Here is a 22,967-nt window from a genome sequence, read left to right as displayed (position 1 = left end):
TTAGATGTTCCTTTCCCTGCCTGCCTGTTTGTGCTTTGGAACTTAATTGTATCATTCTGTTCAAAAAGCCTTAGGTTCATTTTTTCCCTACCATTTTTCTTCAAATATTTGCTGAATGGCCTTGATCTCCCCCTCAGTTATGTGTAGGTTTTTACTCTAAACTCCTCTTACTTGTTCTCGGTAGTTTATATTCATTCCTTTAGGAAACATTCTTGGATGCGTTCTAGATTCGAGAACTTTATTAGGTATTTTGACATAGAGCTAAAGTTTTATGGTATAAAGAGCTTATTTCCCACTAATATATTTATTCAGTTGCCTGCCTATATTTTATACAGTTGTGTCTTAGATTGTCAACTCTAGAAAGTAGAGACCATTTTAAGGTGTTCTTTTCCCTTCTTTCTATCATTGTTGGATAGTACCCATATACAGTTAAGCAGGAAGTTTTGTTTTTAATGGCTTTATTTTGGATCAGCTATATTAAATAATGTTCCAAGTTATTTGGGATTAAAATTATCTTGAATATATTGTTTTAGAAAACTCGGTGAGGGTCAGCTAAAAAAACATGAGATTAGGAATTTAGAAGTCATAGATATTTATATCTAATTCTTCTCTTTTATACTTCAGGCAATTTCTGAGGACTATTACCTTTTATTTTGTGATAAGTAAACTCAAGTCATTCACGTGATCTTAATTATTTTAGGATGCAAGTTACCATTTAGTAAATTGCTTCTTATGTACTTGTATTATTTTGGACAAATTAATCACCTCATAATGATAAGCAATTTACTTTTCTCTCCAGAGATTCCTTTTCTCATAGCAGGAGACTTAGTCTGGGATTGTTTATCTGACTTAGGTCCTCTCATAAAACCTTCAGTATAAAAAAATACTTTGTGAGCATTCACAATGTAGAATGAATTGACTGCAGGAAGTAAACAAGCTGAGTTCTCCTTTCAAATGATCAGTGGCACAGTTGAGATGAAAAAATACATATATGTAATTATGCATTAAAGTAAAACCTGCATGAGAAGCATTAAGGAAAGAAGTAAGAGCTGTGTTCAGCTAATTGAGTCTGCTACTGTCTCTGCCCTCTTGGGATGTAGATATGAAAAGGTAGGTAGTATACATTTTGAAAATTTAAGTAGAGATAATATGAGGATATTAAATAATCTGCTCAGAGTAAAAATATGCAATATGGGATTCTTGAGAGAGAGAAAGAAAGTCAGAAAGGTAGTATAGGTATAGACTTTATCTTATTTTGCTTTCAAATTCCATCATTCATTAAATCAAGTTGGGAAGTTTCCTATTGTCTCCTAACAGTTTGCTTTCTGGTATAAAGCCAGAGTCTTTATAGTGACACACACTACGTCAACTGTCCCTCATCTCTGATCTACTCATCTCGCCATCATTTTGCGCCTCCTGCATCCCCCGTCTCACTGTTCTTCACTCTGCTTGTTATCCTGCCCTGGACTGCCCTTCCCTTTGCCTAGAATGCTCTTCCTCCAGATACCTGCTTTGCTCACCCTCTCGCTTCCTTCAGGGTTTTACTCACCACATCTCTGAAGCTTCTCTGACTACTCTGTCCATCCTTGACACTTTCTATTGCCCTTCCCTGCTTTTATTTCCTCCTGGGCACTTTTCACAAATTTGCGACTTACTTTACTCATTTGGTTATCATCTCCTTCTCTCTTCAAAACATTAGTAAGCTTCATGAGAGCAGGGATTTTGTTTTGTCCACTGCTATCTCCCCAGTGCCTAGACTATTGCCTGGATGATAGTAGAAGCTCAGGGCATATTTGTTGAATGAATGAATGAATGTGCTTCATGTAGACTGCAGTTTAGCTAATACAGCTAGCAAAGGAAGCAGCAGTGAGAGGGGTTGGAGGAGATCCAAGAGAGGGAGTTATGTGAGGAGTGTCAGAGTTTTAAGGAAGGAGTGTGCAGTTGTATGAAATGTCACAAATCAAATAATACAAGTTTGAATTTAGAATAAACGGGTGTTCACGTGTAAATAAGATGTGCAGGCTACTGGGTTATTTACAATATTTAAATTTGCAGCAACTGAATTTTTTTATTGTTTAAATGTGAATTGGCCAAGATTTAACTTATACTTAATGTTTATGGGGTGCTTTGACCTTTAAAAACTGCATTTGCGTAGTATTTCAGCTTCAATCCCACGAGGCAGTGTGGTGAATGTTGTTACATACTTCAAGTCTGCGTTTACAGCTGAGGAAATGCTAAGACTTGAGTAGATGCCTTTTCCAAGGTCTCTGCTAGGAACTAGTCAAACAATGCAAAAAACTCCATCTTTTAACCAGTGTTACTTTCTTTTATTTACACAACTAATCTGATTTAGTCAATTTTACTTTGTATGTGTATTTGTAAGCTCATTAAATCATTTAGGAATAAAGATGTGGCATAAATTGACTAACAGTATATTACTGATGTGACACTGGTGGGAAGATTTATGTCAAGAGACCTGGACAGGCATAATTGGTACACTGTTAAGAGGGTTCAGTTTGCTTAGTTGATAAAGTTTCATGGATTCAAATACTCCTAGATTCATGTTTACTTTTAGATTGTTTTCAGGGGATGATCATAGACAGGACTATTTTTCCCCCAACTATAACATAACTGACATAAATATTGTGGTAACTACTCTGATAAAGCATTTTGTGACCTTCATCTTGGTTTATTTCTATATATTTTATGTAAAGCTGCAATTGAATATTTTCAATATCAAGCAATCTAGCTGCTAAATAGTAACAGCTGCAAGTACCATAACAGTGCTGTAGTTAAACCCACATAGACATTTTCTGAGCTGAGAGGAGCCTAGTCTGATTTGTTTTGAGGTTATTTAAATAAGTTGTTACTTTCGTGTGCAGTGTTCAAAATATATTATCCAGTACTTGATGGGTACTGTTGAGGGGGAAATATCTCCCAAGAGTTTAGAGTTTTGTTATGTTTTGCTGTTTTTTTTTGTTTTTGTTTTTTGGCTTTACCAACTCAGATGTGAATTATAGGTAAGTGGGAAAAATATATCTTCTACTTTCTTAATTTTCCACTTAGCATTAGCTGACTTTTTATATGATGTGAATTCATTTTGTTCTCTCAAGTTGATTTTTTTAGCCTAACCATTCATATTTCAGTATGCAGTGAATAAGAATTTAAGCAAAACAAATTTTACATTTTCCCTAATAGAAATCTATTCTTTCAAATGTATCTACTTAGAGTTGCTAAAATTCCAAAGTTCTTGCAAAAATATCTTTTAGTTTTATAAAATTCACATAGAATGTTGTTTTGGCAGGTTTCTGAAGGTTTGTGGATCCGAATTAGTACGCCTTGAATTGTCTTGCAGCCACTTTCTTAATGAAACTTGCTTAGAAGTTATTTCTGAGATGTGTCCAAATCTACAGGCCTTAAATCTCTCCTCCTGTGATAAGCTACCACCTCAAGCTTTCAACCACATTGCCAAGTTATGCAGCCTTAAACGACTTGTTCTCTATCGAACAAAAGTAGAGGTGAGAGTAATTCATAATTTTCATCATTGCTATTATGGTAGCCAACTGAAGATTTGGTTTTCTGTAATTGCTCATAATAATGTGTTTTTTATTTTTAAATCAAGTTTATGATGCCTTCTGACTACTCTGAAATCAATAGAGCTGATTCAGTCATTGTGAAGTTATTTCAAACCTAATATGCTTTTAAATTATAAGGAAATGTTCTTCTCTATGCTCTTAAAATTTTTGTGATGCTATTTATGTCCCCAGGAAAAAAAATAAGCGTTGGTTGAGGTAAGCCAAAATGCTGGCAGGGAATGAATTAGAGAAAGGTAGGAGGATAATATGTAAGAGGACATTTGCTTGCAGTGGGAGGAAGCAAAGTGATATTTATCCTGGACCAGACTTGGGGGTTAAAATTTGTAATACCATAGTTAATGAGTCTCATTTAAAAAGGAATCATGTCATATATATTAGTCTACTTGCTTTTTCACTAATATCTCTAGGACATGTTTCCAGGGTCAGTGCATATATTATCTAACTCTTTTACTGTAATAGTGTATGTTATACCATAATCTATTTAACATTCTCCAAATGATCAACATTTAGTTTTTCCAGTTGTTTTCCTTTTACAAACTACCTAGCACTAACATTCTTCTGTGCATAGTTTTTTTTTTCTTTTTTGAGACGGAGTCTCACTCTGTTGCCCAGGCTGGAGTGCAATGGCATGGTCTCAGCTCACTGAAACCTCCGCCTGACCAGTTCAAGCGATTCTCCTGCCTCAGCCTCCTGAGTATCTGGGATTACAGGCACGTGCCACCATGCCCAGCTAATTTTTGTATTTTTAGTAGAGACGGGGTTTCACCATGAGCCTGTGCATGGTTTTACACATACTTACTATTACTGCTGTTGGATAGAGTCCTAGAGGTGGTATTGCTAGGTTAAAGAGTATGTACCTGGGCCCCTGTAGTACATACTGTTTGTCATATACTTTTTCCCTCTGCTGCATGCATATTGGCCTTCTTTCTATTCCTTGAATGTTCTGACCTGGTCCCAGCTCAGGGCTTTTGTTTTTTTGCCTGTCTGGAATGTTTGTCTAGCTCATTATGGCTGCCCTTTTTTCAGCTCAGTGTTCAACTTGCATATTTTTTTAGAGATGGCTTCCTGGATACTGTAGCACCCCTTCTAGTTTGTTTCCTTCATATCATCAAGTTTCATTTCCTTTTTAACATCCTTGTCACTCTCTGAAATGATACTTGTTTTCTTGCTTATTTTCTGTCTTCTCACATTAGGATATAATGGTAGAAGCCTTGTTGGTCTTTTTCATTGCCATATTTCCAGAATCTAGAATAGTACTTGGTAAAGATTGGCCATTCAGTAAATATTTGTTAAGTAAATGAATAAAGATAACCAAATTACTTTTCCAAAATGATATACCAGTGACTTGGGAGACTGGATTAGTTCTGGTGGGAATGGTTTGGTTCCCAAGAGAGCAGGTGGTTGTAAAGCAAGGATGCCTTTTGTGTTTGGCCTCTTTGTACTGTCTGCCTCCCCTTTGATCTTCTGCCATGTTAAGACACAGCAGGAAAGCCCTTACCAGAAGCCGAGCAGATGACAGTGCCATGCCCCTTGAAATTCCCAGCCTCCATACCTGTGAGCTAAATAAACTCTTTTTCTTTATCAGCTACCCACCCTCAGGTATTTTGTTATAGCAACACCGAATGAATTAAGATGGCATTATTCTCAATTTTGGGCAAAATATTTAGCTAGGCTTCAACAGGTGACCTGGCAGGGTGGAAAGAAGACTTTGATTCTAGTTCTAGCCCTGCCAGCAATAAGCTTGGTAATCTAGGTGAAGACATTGTCTCAGATTTCCAGATTTTTTATTTGTAAAATGAAATAATTATTGTCCCTGAATGCCAGATGATATTAGCCTGTGTTTTCATTGGTCTGTGGTGAAATGACTCCCCATTTGTGTGGGTATAAAATTGCTAGCTATCTTTTCTTGGGTAGGACTGTTCATTCTGAAATTATGCCATACCTGCTTTTTACTGGCACATTTACTATTTTATGGGCCTAAGTACTATAAACGAAATCCTCTGAGCAAGGAGGATTTAAATGCCTCATTTAAAATTTTCTGATTGTTTAATAAGAAATATAGCAGGCATAATTATTAAATGTAGTTATTAAATGAGCCTTTGAGAAGAAAAATAGGGTAAAAACCAAAAAAATATTAACTTGCTAGGCATCTTATATCTATTGTGGCTTGTGAAAATATATCCCATGAGATGTTTTTGAAATGTTGTATAGTAATGTGATCTAAGTGTCAGAGAATTATTAGTCTACAGTTTTCTTAAATTTGTTTCAGACTGATAGATATGACCAAATTTTTTAAGTGTGATTTATGAGGATTAAGAAGATTTCATATCTGAAGAGTGGAAATTTATACATATGTACCTAGGTCTAGATAGCATAAGCTCTGGTTTCCCTCAGTTACTTAAATACAGATGTAAAATCATTGTATGAATATATTAAATAAAATTTAGGTTGTACCCTCTGTTACTTCCTATTAAATTTTTTTTATTGGCTCATCTGGTAAAATATCATAAACACTACGTAATTTTTCTGACATTGAATATGTAGAAAAAAATTATAAAACTGAGTTTTCAGTGATCTATGGTTGACTTAAAATTAAAGATGCTGTTATTTTAGTGATATAAATGGCAAATGTGAAATTTAGAAAATCTTACCCAGGCAGTGTTTACTTTTAATGCCTCCGAACTCATTGCTTTCTACCTATACTTCACTCTCTTATTGTCTCCTCATTCTTGGGATCTGTATCAGAGTCCCACATGGGCACTAAGTAAATTAGAAAAAGGAGAGTTGGCAAAATAATCAGCTGATTTCTTTAAAAACAAACAGAAGCTACAGCACTAGTATTCATGGCAATCTGTAAACACCTCCATTGTCACTTAAGCAAAGCGTTATGTCACCTCCTTCTTCCTTTGATACACACACTCCTTTTACCTTGCACCTAATGATGGTGTATGAGAGCAAACAGAGAATGAGAAGACAAGGTGTAGGAGACTGGTCTCTCTTTAAATGTTCCACAAAATCACTGGCAGTATATTCTCATTCTAGACTCTGTTTTGAAGAAGGAGCAGTAATTGATTTCAAATGCCTCTGCTTGCTCTAAGGACATACGTGAAAAGAAAAAGAAGATAATAATTTTAGTTTTCTTGGAGAGGTTATTTTGTTTTAAAAGGGCTACAAATTATCTGGTACCACTTTAACCCTGTTTTCCTGAACCCTACAAAATTCTAAAATAAGCAAAAATTAGTATTAAAAATATGGATTGTATTATAGCATATTAACTTCACAGAGACCAGTTTATGATACAATACTGTTACATTTTATGTGCCTTTACATAATTTGCATTAATAAATATAGTATATTTATGCCATTTTACAAGACTTAGACAAGTCCGTATGCATAATGCATAAAGCTTTTGAGGATTTTGAAGACCTGGATTTTTAGTCCCAAAGTTTGGGAAAAAGCTACTGAATATATTCTGTTGGCTGTCCTAGATATTTTGCATTATTATTTCTTTACACCAGTCTGAATAGGGTTGGTGGTATTCTCATCTTTACACATAATTAAATTATGGTCTCAAAAGATTAATAAATTGCCTGCTGGCACAAGCAATAGAGTCAGGATTTGAACTCAGGTCTTGTGGCCTTGGTGTTGTAGTTAAAATTATAACATATATAAAAGCATAGAATAGTAGTTATTCTGATAGCTTGGCTATTTACCTAAAACAAGGATTTTCTTTACTACTTACTATTTCTAATTTGTAGTTGGTAAGGAGATACAACATAGTAACTAACATATACAACATTATAATCCATGATAAAATACAGACTATTATGTTTATGTTTTATAAATATCTTCTGCAGGAAAACGGATTTTTTGTCTTTTTACTATGAACAAGCTTAGTTTGAAGTCTTAGTTGTTCTGAATTTATAAATCACAATTTGTTATTCAAATTACATTTAGAAACATTTAAGTGAAAGTTTGTAGAATCAATACATAATTAACTGCTTTAAGTAAGTAGTTTATATAGGCCTACTCTCAATTTTATACTGTAATGGAGAGCAGCATTGAGACAGATAATCCTCAAAATAATTTTGACATGTAAAATGATGTGTTGTTGATAGCTAGGTGATGTATTCTTAAGTCGTTAGCCATAGCCAGGCATGCAGCAGGCCTGATGACTCAGTAAGAATGAGACCTCAGGAGAATAGAACTGTGGCAGGGTCAGAATTGTCTTGTATGCTGATGTGGGTCCCTCCCTGCATCAGTGGTTGTTCAGAATTTTTAGCCTTATAAGATAGTAAAATATAGTTCAACTTGGTTTCTTAATTTATTTCATGAGATCTTTTTCTTTCTTTAGATGTGTTTAGGATTACAATGAAAAATGACTTCATCAGAGAAATAACAAATGTCTTATAAATTTAGCAAAGAAAATTCACTAACTAAGCTATGTGCAGAGTCAGTGGCATATATTTGTTGAATTTCATTAGACTCAGAGCATTAAATACATGCTTAGTAAAGAACAACATACTATTACATCAATAAAAGACAGAATGGACGGGTATACAGTAAGCCCAAATATATGCTCGCATTGTCACAGGCTTGTCCTTAGTTGGAGGGTGATCTGTGTTGGGAAACCTTTTTAGAAGAAATTACTCTTGAGCTGAGATTTATGCCCTGTTTAGTGTGTAATCCCAGAATTACTAGTGAAATGGGTTGGTAAATAGGGTAATTTTTTTTCCTCCTGAATTTGGTGGATCTTTTAGAGTTGAATAGACAGCACTTTCTGCAACAGATGGGGATTTAGACAGGGAGGACACTTTAGTTGTGCTTAGTTTCTTCTACCATCCGTGGCATGGAAATAATTAGGTATTATAATGATTTAAAGGACTTAAGTTCAGTCTTTTTGGTTCTTTTCTTTTCATAAGATTCTTATTAGGTACGATAAAGCATTGATTGCAAGTACTTCTTTAACCATACATGATGATGTATTTTCGTGAAAGTAGAGCTGTAAAAATCTAGCCCATTCAGCTGGGCTCAGGGGCTCATGCCTGTAATCCCAGCACTTTGGGAGGCTGAGGCAGAAGGATCACTTGAGATCAGGAGTTCAAGACCAGCCTAAGCAACATAGCAAGACCCCATCTCTACAGAAAATTTAAAAAATTAGCTGGACATGCCCCTGTAGTCCCACTCAGGAGACTGAGGTGGGAGGATCACTTGAGCCCAGGAGGTCGAGGCTACAGTGAGCTGTGATTGTGCCACTGCACTCCAGCCTGAGTGACAGAGCAAGACCCTGTCTCAAAAATAAAATAAATCTGACTCATTAAATTGATTTTTAAATACTTGAAAAAAACTTTTATTTTGAAATAATTTCCGACTTACAGAGAAATTGAAAAAAAAAATGATTTCTTATGTATTTTCACCCAGGTTCCCCTACTATATGCATAATTGTTTTAGTGAACCATTTGAATATAAGTTGAAAACATAATAACCCTTTACCCCTGGGGCATTATAAGTGAAAGACATAATTTGCCCCTAAAAGGGCATATATCTGTAATGTACTTTCAAATACTTGTGTTATGGGCTGAATTGTATCTCCCTGAAATTCGTACATTGAAGTCCTACCCCCCAGTACCTAAGAATGTGACTGTATTTGAGACAGGGTTTTTAAAGAGGTAATTAAGGTTAAATGAGGTCATTAGGGTAGAGCCTAATCCAATATGACTGGTGTCCTTAAGGAAGAGGAGATTAGGGGACACACACACAAGGAAGACCATGTGAAGACAATGGAAGAAGATGACCCGCTACAAGCCAGTAAGAGAAGTCTTAGAGGAAACCAACTCTGTTGACACCTAGATCTCAGATTTCTAGCCTCCAGAATTGTAAGCAAGTAAATTTCTGATGGTTAAACTACCTAGTCTATGATACTTTGTTATAGCAGCCCTAGAAAACTAATACACCTTGTATAGGATAGCATAAGAAAAGTTTTTTAACATAGTGCATGAGAGTGTCTTTAAGATAAGTCCCACACGTACTAAAACAATCTGGACTAGTTTTAGAAGTTTGAACCTGTTTACCTTTTCTCTGTTTGGGGAAAAAAAAAATCTGGAGTCAGGGGTGAAAGTGGGGCATGATAGGTAGCTCAGTAAGAATGTTATTCTGTTGCTTAGCAGCAGACTGGAAAACCAGGAGTGTTTTTTAAAAGTTGGAGTTATAAATGGAACACCTGCATCCAGTTTTGATTGCCTCACTTCAAGAATGATAGAGCATAAATTGAAAGAATCTGAAGAAGTGAAAAAACTGATTATAGGTATTGTGGGGGACTAGTATATGACAGTAATCCATAAGTATGGTTCAGCATCTGTTTACTTGGCCTACTCAGCTGTGTCGACAGTTTCAAGGACCCCTCTGCTTTTATCTTCATGAACTAGAAGACAACAAAAGAAGTTGATCTTTACTTCTGTAGGATATTAACACTCTCCTATTTTTTTCTTTCTGTGCCAGTTTATTTGGCAGAGCATATATATAAGTAAAATTGCACACCAGCCTGACTGTTAATGAAAGCAGCTGGGCTTTCTACAAAAGGTGTATTAACTGTCTTTTGAAAGAGTGTGATTTAATTTAGTGCTACGAATTTGTTTTCTGACATGCGTATATGGTGGTCTCCTTACTGCATTCTTATTTGATTTAAACAATACATTATTGTATTTTGGTAAGTAGAGCAGGGATGAGCTTTCTTTTAAAAGAGCCATTGCAGCTAACAAAGTCAGACTATAAGACCAAACTGATTGGCAAATGAAGAGGGTGGCTTCTCACTTACAGAGCCAGTGCTGGTAACTAAGACGAGGGTGAGAAATTAAAATAGAAAGAACCGGCTTTGGTCACCTAAATTAACTAATGCAGGATGTTGTTAGTTGTCATCTAAAATGCAGTCTATTTAAAATAGAAATGTTAATATAGCTAGATAATATGTAAAACAGAAAGATATTAGTAATTACTTTGTTCTTAAACACAATCAAGAATCAATAGTTTTAATAGCTGATAATAAGTTTAATTATCACAGATAAAACTAACAAACTTTCTTAGAGTCCTTGGTATGTGTCTCTAGGCTATATTTCTGTATCCTGATTGGCCTTGTAGAACTTTCAATGGGAATAGGTGACTTGGTGGGGTGAGTATGTGTGCCCTGAATGAATGGACTGTAGTCCAGTTACAGTCAAGAAGCCTAACTTGTGAGTGCAGAGGTGGGGAAGATAATCTTTTAATGGGGGCAGACTCCTTATCAAACACAACCATGACAGTGACCAATAAGCCAGGTGTAAGAAATCTACCTGGAAAGGACACCATTCATTAGAGATGGCTGATTAACCCATCCTCTCACAGTTGGCATGTCCTGAGGAAAGCCAAATTAAAGTTATAGGACTGTTAATATGTAAACTGCCATGTCTTTAAATTTTTTTTTTTTTTTTTTTTGGTAGAGATAGGGTCTCACTGTGTTTCTCAGGCTGGTCTCAACCTCCTGGGCTCAAGTGATCCTCCTGCCTCAGCCTTCAAGTGCTTGGATTATATGCATGAGCCACCACATCCAGCCCCATGTCTTTTTGACTGCAAATCTCTGCATCCATTGTAGGTTGTTATGCAAATTGATCAGTCGAGTATCTGTGAGGAAAGATGTATTCGACTATATTATTGTAGGAAAGATCCAATACAGTGATAAAAATAGGCTTCAAAATGAGACTGCAGGGCAAGGCAAAGGTGTGTGAACATTTAGTCTTAGATTTTGTTTCATCACACACAAGGATTTTAAGAATTTGACAAATTATCTGAACCTTAAACTGAAACTTGTATGTTAGAGCTAAAATTCTGAGTCTGTGGTCTAGGGTAGCTATTAAACATCTACAGTTAGGTTTAGAGAACTTCTTTTTCCTCAAAGGCAGTGTAAGGAACTTTATTAATTTTTGCAATTTATGATATTTAGCCTTTTCTTTTTAGAGATCTGTCAGAATTCTAACTCTCCACCACAATGTTGATCTTAAAGTTGTGAAAGACAATATTATTTTCAAGGTGATTATGTATCAGTATATAATCTATACCATATTGTGTATTTGAACTGTATAAAAGAATAACTTCTAATAGATGGTTCATAGCAAATCTGGACAAAGTAATTGGATTTAAATATTCTAAAATGGTGATTATTTCTACATATGTTTAGTTTCAAGTACTTTAAATAGTTCTTAAAATACTTCAACTTTTTTTTTGTTGTTTTTTTTTGTTTTTGAAATGGAGTCTCGCTGTGATGCCCAGGCTGTAGTGCAGTGGAGCGATCTTGGCTCCCTGCAACCTCCGCCTCCCTAGTCCAAGCAATTCTCCTGCTGCAGCCTCCCGAGTAGCTGGGACTACAGGCGTGTGCCACCATGCCCGGCTGATTTTTATACTTTTAGTAGGGATAGGGTTTCACCATATTTGCCAGGCTGGTCTTGAACTCCTGACCTCAAGTGATCTGCCGGCCTCAGCCTCCCAAAGTGCTGGGATTACAGGCATGAGTTACTGCACCTGGCTTTCAACTTTTATTCTATATTCTTCTTCACCAAGTTTATTGAAATTGGAAGAGTGGAGCCAAAAAAAATTTAATTAGAGAAAGATTTACACTTATACATGTATTTTACACTCCAGTAATTGAGTGGTTGTGTTCTTAGGATTTCTTTGGAGACATTTGTTATGCAAATTTATGAATTTTCATTTAGTGAATATACTTTTATAAAATTTCACCACCTTACTCTGAGATAGTGCTCTGATGTGTTTGAAATGTAGTATAATCAATGAAAGTACATTTGTTTCTGATCACGTTATATAACTAGTCTATATTTTAGCTAGTCTTTGTCTGTAATATGTACACTTGTTACCTATCCCTTATTAATATGCTTTCTAGGAATCATGTTTTAGAATGGAGAATACTAATTTGGAATCCTACTGTCCTATATTGAGTGTTATAATTAAGGGTTACATTCTTTATTAAAGATAACCAACAATTCTTAACACTGAGCAAAAAAAGTCATAAACTAGTTGTAACAGCTAAAAACTTACATTAATGTAAAATAGCAAACATATTACTGCATACATTGATTATACAAGGTCTCAGTATATTATAAAATGTACAGGTATGCATAAATATAATTCTAAGCTATAAATCTGGACTATCTAAAAGTTATATTTGAGTATAATAAATATTGGTTATTTTTATTAAGTAGTTTTGCTTAGCACTTTAGAAGCCTGGAGGGTGGGAAGTTATAAAGTTTATGGGTAACGTTTCTTAAAAAGCTGTCAATGAAAATTTGAATTAATGCCTTTTATCTATTAATAAATTTCTTCTTAACAAGTAAAGGCATTAATAATAATTCTTTATAACTGAATGGCACTTCATATCTGCATACACCAAACTTCCACATCTGTTATCCATCATTTCACTAACTAAAACTGTTTTTGAAATTGAAACCATTGTTTTTTTTTTTTTTTTTTTGAGACAGGGTGTCACTCTGTCACCCAGGCTAGAGCAGTGGTGTGATCTCAGCTCACTGCAACCTCTGCCTGCCAGGTTCAAGTGATCCTTCTAGCTCAGCCTCCAAAGTATCTGGGACTATAGGCATGCACCACCGTGCCAAGCTAATTTTTGTATTTTTTGTAGAGATGGGGTTTTGCCATGTTCCCAGGCTGGTCTCAAACTCCTGAGCTCAAGTGATCTGCCCACCTCAGCCTCCCAAAGTGCAGTGAAATCATTTTCTTAGCAGTAGTCATTGTAGTCATTGTAGTAGTCTGAGTATTTGGAAGCTTCACTAAAGGACACTAGGGGGAATAAACTTGCTAAACAAACAAGAAGGCAGTTGTGAAAGTAGGGGGAAACAGTCTTCCTCCTGTTATAATCATTGGAGTATGGTGTTTATGGACTAATTCCTTTGCAGTCCTTTCCTGAGTTGTATAGGAAGGTCCGGAACCCTGATGCTATAAGCATGCTTTACAGTTGTTTTTGCCTAATTGCATTAATAAAAACTGTTCACGTTGAACTTGTCTCTTGCCTTTCTCTCCAGTTATAACTTGTTATAATATTTTGCTGTTTACTTCTTTACCTTTGGCATTTCACAATGGCTGAGTGTCATGTGACCAACTTGAATATTTAATTATGTGTTTACTCTTCCAGTTTGATCCCAGGTTAAGAAGCGTATGCTTCTTATGTGTGGCGAATTGTTGAATTTATTACTTGAAGTTATTCATTGGGTTTTGAAGCTGCTGAACAGGGTTAATAGGTAGATTTTAGGTGGAATGTAAAATAAATCATTGTTTATGAACATGTATTCTACTGCTAGATGACAGCATGCACCTAGAGTATGTTTTGGTAATTCTGTAGAAGAAATTATCATGGACCCAGTCACTCCTTAGTGAATGCCTTGCCATAGTTGTTTAAGTAAGGTTGCCCTTTGTTTGAAAATTACAAACTCATTTGAAAATGAATCTGCTGCCTTGCACTATTAAAGCTGCTATTTTAATTATATTTTAGTTTTATAGAACTACTCTTGTACTTCTATTGAATGAGTTTTGAGACCTAACCAGCAGAATGTGTAGACTTGGGGACCTGAAAGATACTTTATGTCTTAAATAAGAGGTTCATAGAATTTTTCACTTTTCATTTCTGAATAAATACTGTGCCATTTTCACAGTACACCTAATAATATAGCTTTGATCCATCCATTTGTGTGTTCTAGATATGTAGCAGTGCTGCATATACTCATTATAGTAGAATTGTTTTGTTCTCCTAAGTAGAGATTGGCAAACTTTTTCTGTGAAGGGCTAGGTAGTAAATACTTTAGGCCTTGCAGGCCCTATGGGCTCTATCACAGCTACTCAATCCTGCTGTTGTAGTGTGAAAACAGTCACAGACAATACATTAATGAGTGGGAATGTCTGTGTTCCAGTAAAACTTTATTTACAAAAACAGGCAGTAGGCTGGATTTGGCCTGTGGACAGTAGTTTGCCAACTCCTGCTCCAAACTATTGAGTTGGTGGTCTCTACAAAATCAGGTCCTTCTGTATCTGGAAATGAAGAGTTAATTTCTCCGTAGTTTATTCTCTTTGCTTTGACATCAGTAACAACATTTTAATTCTGAATACTAATAGCATGGAGAAAGAATATTTTAAAGATATTTTAGGAGGAAACGGGTTAACTGGATTTAAAGACATTGTAAACTGATTCCATAGGCATGTTCTCTAAACCTGGGTACTCCCAGAGTCTCTGGCTTTTGCTGATGAGCTTTGCTGGAGAAAGCCATGAAACTGTGTTAATTTGTGCTTACTCACCTCAGTGCTACCTGTCAGCCCTTTGATTTATTTCTATTTGACCTCTTGTTAATTCCTCACAGTATCTCTTCCAAGGTCATCATTGTTCTTTCCATTACCATCACTTCCATCTCGCAATATCTTGGTCTCAGCATTTGATCTCACGTCTCTTATTCAGCAAAGATCAGTTATATCATTCAACATAAATCTCTTTTATTCTATGTTAATTCCTTTTCAAGCTGAGGATTTTAAAAATGATAGTTCTAATATTAAATGATTTTTTAATTCCCAGTTTAATGTACAGACTAAGTTACTGTAAAATATTTGCTGTGAATTCCTCTTCTATGACTTGAAATTCTCCCAGAGAAAATAATGCATCTACCATTTCACAAATGTTTTCTAGACATATATAATTAGACTTCAGTTCAAAAGTGAGTTAGGAGGATATGCTGTTAGGTCTGTGCCTTAAAGTTACAATCTTTAAGATACACAATAAGCAGAAGTTGTGATTTCTCTGAAGAACAGTCCAGACAGGTTAATATAGTATTCTTGACAATAAATATTTTTTCTTACCATTATCTTACTTTTTTTGTTTGTTTCTTTTGCAGACAGGTTCTTGCTCATTCGCTTAGGCTGGAGTACAGTGGCATGGTCACAGCTTATTGCAGCCTTGACCTCCTGGTCTCAAGCAGTCTTCCCACCTCAGCCTCCCAAGTAGCTGGGACCACAGGCATGTGCCACTATTCCTGGCTAATTTTTTTTATTTTTATTTATTTACATTTTTTGTAGAGATGAGTTCACACCATGTTGCCCAGGCTGGTTTTGAAATCCTGGGCTCAAGCTGTCCTCCCTCCTTGGCCTCCCAGAGTGTTAGAATTATAGGCGTGAGCCACCACACCTGGCCTTACTCTTACTTTTAATTCAAAGAACTGATTGTATAGGGAATTTATCTCAAACTGTATCATGAGAATCTTATTGTCCCAGTCTGGGGATAATCAGCTAGGTGACAGTGTTCCAAGCCACCCCACCCAGGAGTTTGGATGGAAGTCTTAGAGAAAGAAGAGATTTTGTTTTGGGCAGATATACCAAAAAGTATATAGTGACCTGGTATTGGCCATGCCTCCTGGTCAGAACTGAGCTAAGCCTTCTACTGGTCCTGCAGTATCCGCAGTGCCACTGCAGAGCAGGACCTCTATACCTTCAGCAGAAGTCCTGGTTCTAGAAGGGAGCAATGTGCAAGACCCTTAGACAAGGAGGAATAAAAAAAGATGGGGTCAGGAGATGGCAGTTCAAAGAAATAGTGAAAGTACCTTGTGAAAAAGAACTAGAAATTTTGAAACATAAATAGACTAAAACAAGAACACATAGTTGTGAAAAAAACTGATTGGAAATCTAGCAAATAAAGTATAGTCATTAGGAAATAATGAATAGATGTGATAAATTCTAAATTGGACACAGGATTACTAAATTAGAAGAGAAGTCTGAGGAATGTACTCAGATTTCTAAAAGGTATGTCAGACACTGCTGTAAGTTTTATACACACCCACACAATCTCAATCAATAAATCTCTCTCTCTCTCTCTCTCATTTACTCCTAAGGCAAGGCAGTCCTACTCATTTAATAAATATATATTGTGCCTACTATATACTAGTGACTCTGTTATTTATCTATTGCTATATATCAATTGCTTCAAAATTAGTGGCTTAAAACAACCTACATGTATTATCTCACACGTTTTCTGTGGGTCAGGAACCTGGGAGTGGTTTAGCTGGGTAGTTTTGGCTCAGGGTCTCTAAGGAGGTTGCAGCCAGGTTGTTATCTGGTGCTTGACTATGGCTGGTGGCTCAGCCTCCAAACTCAGGGGGATGTTGCTACAGTTCCCCTTCAGCTTGTGACCAGAGGCCCCTGTTCCCTCCACACAGGCCTCTCCATAGGCTGCCTGAGTGTCCTCATGACATGGCAGCTGGCTTCCCCACAAGGGATCAAGTTGGGAGGGAGGAAGCCAAGACAGGAGCCACAGCCTTTTTATAACTGTATTAGGAGGGTTCCAAATCAGAACCAATAGGAGATAAAGATATTTATTATAAGGAATTGGCTGACATGATATGAGGCTGGCAAGTCTCAAAATCTGCAGGACGAATTGGCAAGCTGGAAACCCAGGAGAGCTGATAGTGTAGTTGTAGTCTGACAGGTAGCAGGTTTAAGACCCAGGAAGAGCTGATGTTTCAGTTTATAACCAAATTCAGGAAGAAACCAGCGTCCCAGTTTGAAGGCCATCAGACATTGTTTTTTTTCCTGAATTTGGAAGAATTCTCTCTTATTTGAGGGAGGGTCAGCCTGTTTTTTCTATTCAGGCCTTCAGCTGATCAGATGAGGCCCACCCACATTAGGTAGGGCAATGTGCTTTATTCAGTCTACTGATTTAAATGTTAATCTCATCCAAAAACAACCTCACAGAAACACCCAGAATTGGCAGGGCGTAGTGACTCACACCTGTAATTTCAGCACTTTAGGAGGCCGAGGTGGGTGGATTATGAGGTCAGGAGGTCGAGACCATCCTGGCCAACATGGTGAAACCCCACCTCTGCATAATATAAAAATTAGCTGGGTGTGGTGGCACATGCCTGTAATCCCAGCCACTTGGGAGGCTGAGGCAGGAGAATCGCTTAAACCAGGGAGTCAGAGGTTGCAGTGAGCTGAGATTGTGCCACTACACTCAAGCATGGGGACAGAGTGAGACTCCATCTCAAAAACAAACAAACACCCAGAATTATGTTTAACTAAATATCTGGGTACCCCATGGCCTAGTAAGGCTGATACATAAAATTAACCATCATAAATGTAATATTGAAAGTGACCTATATCACCTCTACAATATACTGTTTGTTAAAAGTGAGTCGCTAAGTTAAGCCCACTCTCTCAAAGGGAGAGGAATTAAGCTCTACCTCTGGAAGGAAAGCATATAGAATAACACGTGGACATATTTTTCAAACCACTCTAACCGCTGGTACTAGGAGACTCCAGTGTTATACTCCAGTGTTCATTGAATAGAAGTTACTGAAGAAAAAAATGGAAGGAATGGTAGAAAAGTAATATTTGAAGAGAGAATTGTTAAGAATCATTATCTTTCATGAAGAGAGATATGAGTCTTCAGATCAAAATGGGCACTTGGGGTTTTAAACAAAATAAATGAAAATACATTTTTAGACAGATTGTGATGTAATTGCAGGAGATCAAAAATAAAGGGACAAGAGCTATCAGAGACAAAAGATATATTACCTGCAGAGGAAAACAATTAGATTGACAGTAGACTTCTTATCAAGTAAGAGACTCATAAGCAATGGAGTAATGTTTTCAGAGTGTTGAAAGAAGGTAACTGTCATCTGAAAATTCGAAGTCTAGCTAAACTTTCGTTCTAGATTGAGGAAAAATCTCAAATATGCACAATAAAATTTATTTTAAAAAAAGATTGAGGGTAAACATTAAGTTATTTAAGTTTCTGTCTTTCTGATTCCCCATTTATAATGATAGGATAGGTAAATAACGGTATTTACCTTATAGGTTAACTGTTCTGTTCACTGTTATATCCCAAGTGCCTAAACGGTGCCTAACACATAGTAGGCATGCAATAACTGTTTATTAAATGAATGAATGAGTGAATAGGATTGTTGTGAGGATTTATATATATAAAGAATTTACAGCAATGCTACCTGACATGTTAATAAGTACTCAATAAATGTTTGTTGTTAAGATTTTATCACCTGTAGACACTCAGTAAAAGAACAATTAAAAATATTTCTCAACAAAAAGACAAATTCTGTAAGGAAGTATCAGATATAAAAAAAAATTATGACACAGAAATTGATAAAATGCTAGTAAATTAACTAATGACCATGGAGGGGAGATTAATTTAAGAAAAATTAATCTTTTTGTATTATTTCTAAAAGGTAAAAACTAAAACCTTTAAGGTGATTCTAAAGTTCACATGAAAGAGCAAAGGGCCAACAGCAGCTAAGAGATGTTTGAAGAATGAGGAAAAGCTATTTGCCATACTAGATTTAAAGACTTATGAAGTATAATAATTAAGACAGAAATGTTGGTGCAGGGAATGGAAAATAGACCAGTGAAACAAAATGACCCAGAAGTAGACTCATGCGTATATGGAAACCTTATATATGACAGAAAGCATTACAAATCAGTGGATACAATGAAGTCTTCAATAAATCAAACTGGAACAATGTGGGGAAAATGAAATTTGATATCCTACCATATAAGAATCAATTGTAGTTGGGTTAAAAACCTAAGTGCAAAAAAGAAAGACTCTAAAACTCTGATTTTAAAAAAAAAGAATCTTAGATTCTTCCTTAGCTAAAGAAGAACTTTTTGGAAAAAACAACAGGATACAAACATAAGGGGGAAAAGGATTAATGGCACATTTAATATAGTCATATTAAAATTTAAAATGTTCACATCTCAGAAAATCCAGTAAACAGTGAAAAGACATGCCTCAGAGAAGGTATTTATAGCTGATATAACTGACAAAGATTGGTATCCAGCATGAATAAAGAATTCCAGAAGTCAAGAAGGAAGAAACAACCCAATGGAAAGAAAAATCAGCAAAGGATGTGATTAAGCAATTTACAGAGCAGGAAATATGAATGGCCAATGAACATATGAAAAGATCTTCAGTCTCACTAGTAATCATACTAATGCAAATTATACCATTCTGTACTCATGAGACAGGCAGATATTAAAAAGGATGAAAAGTCTACGTATGTTGGTAAAGATGTGGGGACCTAACAGTCTTACAGTACTGATGGGAGAATAGGTTAATTTAAGCACTCAGAAGAGCTATTTTGCAAAGCCAAATAAAGTCAAAGAATACATAAACACCTGGAAATTCTCCTTCTGGTGTGTTCTCTAGAGAAATACTCTTCTATAAATGCACAAGGAAGCACATAAAGGAATGTTTATTCTAACACTGTTTGTAATGGTGAAAATTGTAAGCAACTAAATATCAATCAAATGAGATTGTATGCTATTATATATTTGCATAATGGAATATTATACAATTTCTAATGTTAATATTATATGCTACTTATGGATACATAACGTATAGTAAAATTGTATATTTTCAAGCATGTTTTAAACACCAAGTCATAATAAAGGTTACCTCTGAGGAAGTACGTGAATGGATGGAGGGATACAAAAATGTAGTGAGGTAAACAAAATATTGAGTTGATAAATTGAGTGGTGGCTACATGGTTATTATGGGCATTCTTTTGGACCCTACACTTGTTTGTATATTTGAGATTCTTCATAGTAAGTAATTTAAAAATAAATTACCAAACAAGTTTCATTAAAGATTAGTGGACTAGAGCTATATGTATCAACATGGACAGATCCCTCACACTGATGAAGAAGATGCAGAAGTATATTCACATCGTAATACCATTTATATAGAAACCATGTAGAACAATATTATGTGCTACTTATGGATACATAATGTATTGGAAAATTATATATTTTCAAGCATGTTTTAAACACCGAGTCATGATAAAGTTTACCTCTGAGGAAGTATGTGAATGGATGGAGCCATACAACAATGTAGCCAGATAAGCAAAGAATGTCAAAATGTTAAGAGTTGACAAAACTGAGTGGTGGCTACATGGGTGTTATATTGGAACCTATACTTGTTTGTGTATTTGAGATTCTTCATAGTAAGTAATTTAAAAATAAATTACCAAACAAGTTGTGTGAATTATATGTATGTGTGTATTTATCTCTATGTATGTGTATTTTTTAATTTAAAATTTCTTACCAACAAGAATTTATGAGATTCTTTCTAAAAATTCTAATATTCTCTGGATCTTACTTAAGGGAAAATCTTATAAAACAACCTTTTAATATGGATATGGTCCTGTAATTAAAAAAAAAACAAACCTAATGTTATGTTCCTGTCTGTTAATTAGTTAACATGGCTAAGTATTGTGAAGAACCTGAAAATTAAATTATCTTAATATACCCTTTCTAATGTTAACATTCTGAGAGCTACATGGGATTGTTTTATAAATGTTGTTATGTTGAAACTTAAGTATAAAATCAATATAAACTTTTTTTGTTTAAATTCAAAGAAATGCTCAATAATGAAATAATTAGACTTAAGTATAATAGTCCTCTGTGGCCTATTGTAACTATTATTATTTTTGCTTTAAGTAACCTTACATTTGAGAAATATTTTATTACTTTATTTTCTCAATGAGAATCTTTATCTGGGATTTGACCAAATGTTTTACATTTTCATTGACACATTCTTCACCTTTCCCTCAACTGATAGTTTTTAGTTTCTGATCACTTGGAACAGATTTTTACAGAAGTTGTATAATATCTTAATTTTTAAATATATTTAAAAATGTATAAGATATTTTGCCATGTAAGTTTGAATAGTTTTCTCCTTAATTGATAAAAGAAAAATTAGAAATTTGAATATTTTGCATTATTTTGTTTTTCACAATTTTTCATAGCAGACTTTTTTAAAAAAATATTTTAGGGTGCCATGATTATGTAGCAGTCTTTGGGTTTCTTTAGTGGTGAGACCATTTTCATTGCACAGGATAGATGGGCTTAAATGGCAGGAACATGACTAGAAAGTACATATTATATATATTTCAGTCAGCATGTTGCTACTGACAGGTGCTCAATGGTTGTTGGTATCCTTGTCAGCAAAGAGAATCCTTTGACATTAAAGTCACCAGCTCAATCCTGATTTGGGGTGACTCTATTGGCAGTTCCATCAAGCTGCAGCTGATCAGTGAATGTCAGAGCTGCAGCCATTCTTCAGGAGTGTCACCAGCCTGCTGCGGGTTTTTTGTCTTTTTGTTTTTGTTTTTGGAGGGAGGAGTGGTTTAGCTTGTCTTGTTGTTCAATTGTAGCCAGACTTTCAAATTGCTTACCTTTGGGAAATGAACCGAGAGGTCATAGGGAATATAGGTATCTTTAGGGCATCCAAAACCATACACAAAGTGATTACTTACATGGAGACTAGTAATGATTACCTTGACTCCAAGCCAATCAATGGTGGAGCCTCTGGGGACTCATTAAATGGCATTTGTGGACTCTGTAACCTAGCTTTTGAGCTGCATTTCAGGAAAAGCAGTGACAGCCTTTAATGTCTAATTGACCTCTTCTCTTTGTTTCACTTTCATTCACTTTCCATATTTGCCTCTGATGTGGTCCCTAATGGCAGCAAACAGCACTGCTCAGCATTTTGAACTTCTGTTCAGAGCTTCAGCACCTCAGTTTAGGCAGTTGTGTCATGGTAAGTGTTTGAGAATTCTTTATACTACTCAATTACTTGTTCTCTTTTTCTTCCTATGGGTGAAATGTATCCTGACTCACCCTACCCCACACACACCCACAGTTTTTCAGATTTATGGTTCTCTTCTTTGTCCCTTGCTTTCAAACATTTTTCTTAAATTGGAAAGTATGTCTTTGAAACACTGACATTATTTATCCATGAGAGCAAGGAAAGAAGTATAGTGTGGTGGAATAGAGTATAGTTCTGCCTCAAGCCAGATGTTGTCTCCGACAAGCTAATCACCTCTCTAGGTTTCTTCACAAACTAAGGTGTTAGTCATACCTAAATGCCGATAGTTCAGTAAGTTTTTCACTAAGCTCATTTTAGCTTTTAAATCCTGAGATACTTTTCTTGAAATTTTAATGATAATAGATAGGTTTATTTTATCTGTTTGTTTTTGTGTTTGTTTTACTGTCCTTACTGGTCAAAACAGAAAGATTAACACCCTATGTTGGAACTCTTTTTTGTGTGTGGAAATTTTACTGGTCTGTGAAATATAAAAGCCTAGGGACTGTTGGACTAGATAAGCTTCAAAGTCCTTCCAGATTTTTTTTTTTTTTTTTTTTTTTTTGAGATGGAGTCTTGCTCTGTTGCCCGGGCTGGAGTGCAGCGGCGCGATCTTGACTCACTGCAATCTCCGTCTCCCGGATTCAAGCAATTCTCCTGCCTCAACCTCCCAAGTAGCTGGGATTACA

The 22,967-nt window shown here is 35.6% G+C and overlaps 1 protein-coding gene across 10 annotated transcripts in view; it reads left to right on the top strand.

Annotated features, from left to right (window-relative positions):
- FBXL4 (F-box and leucine rich repeat protein 4) overlaps positions 1-22,967 on the top strand; it is a 79,412-nt gene that overhangs the window by 45,161 nt on the left and 11,284 nt on the right. For 6 of the 10 annotated variants that reach the window (NR_103836.2, NM_012160.5, XM_017010726.2 and 3 more), the window contains 2 exons: positions 3,305-3,518; positions 22,162-22,233. Coding sequence is in view for 8 of the 10 variants with exons in the window: in NM_012160.5 (NP_036292.2) it covers positions 3,305-3,518; positions 22,162-22,233 (286 nt within the window). In the remaining 2 variants the exon portion in view is untranslated. Of the gene's footprint in view, positions 1-3,304; positions 6,055-22,161; positions 22,234-22,967 lie in introns of those variants that run through there. The other 4 variants (XM_017010727.3, XM_047418626.1, XM_005266930.4 and 1 more) reach the window with 2 other exon arrangements.

This window comes from Homo sapiens, chromosome 6 (genome assembly GCF_000001405.40).
Source record: "Homo sapiens chromosome 6, GRCh38.p14 Primary Assembly".
NCBI lineage: Eukaryota > Metazoa > Chordata > Mammalia > Primates > Hominidae > Homo > Homo sapiens.
Note: the sequence above shows the minus strand (reverse complement) of the source record. Positions and strands in the feature narration are given on the sequence as shown.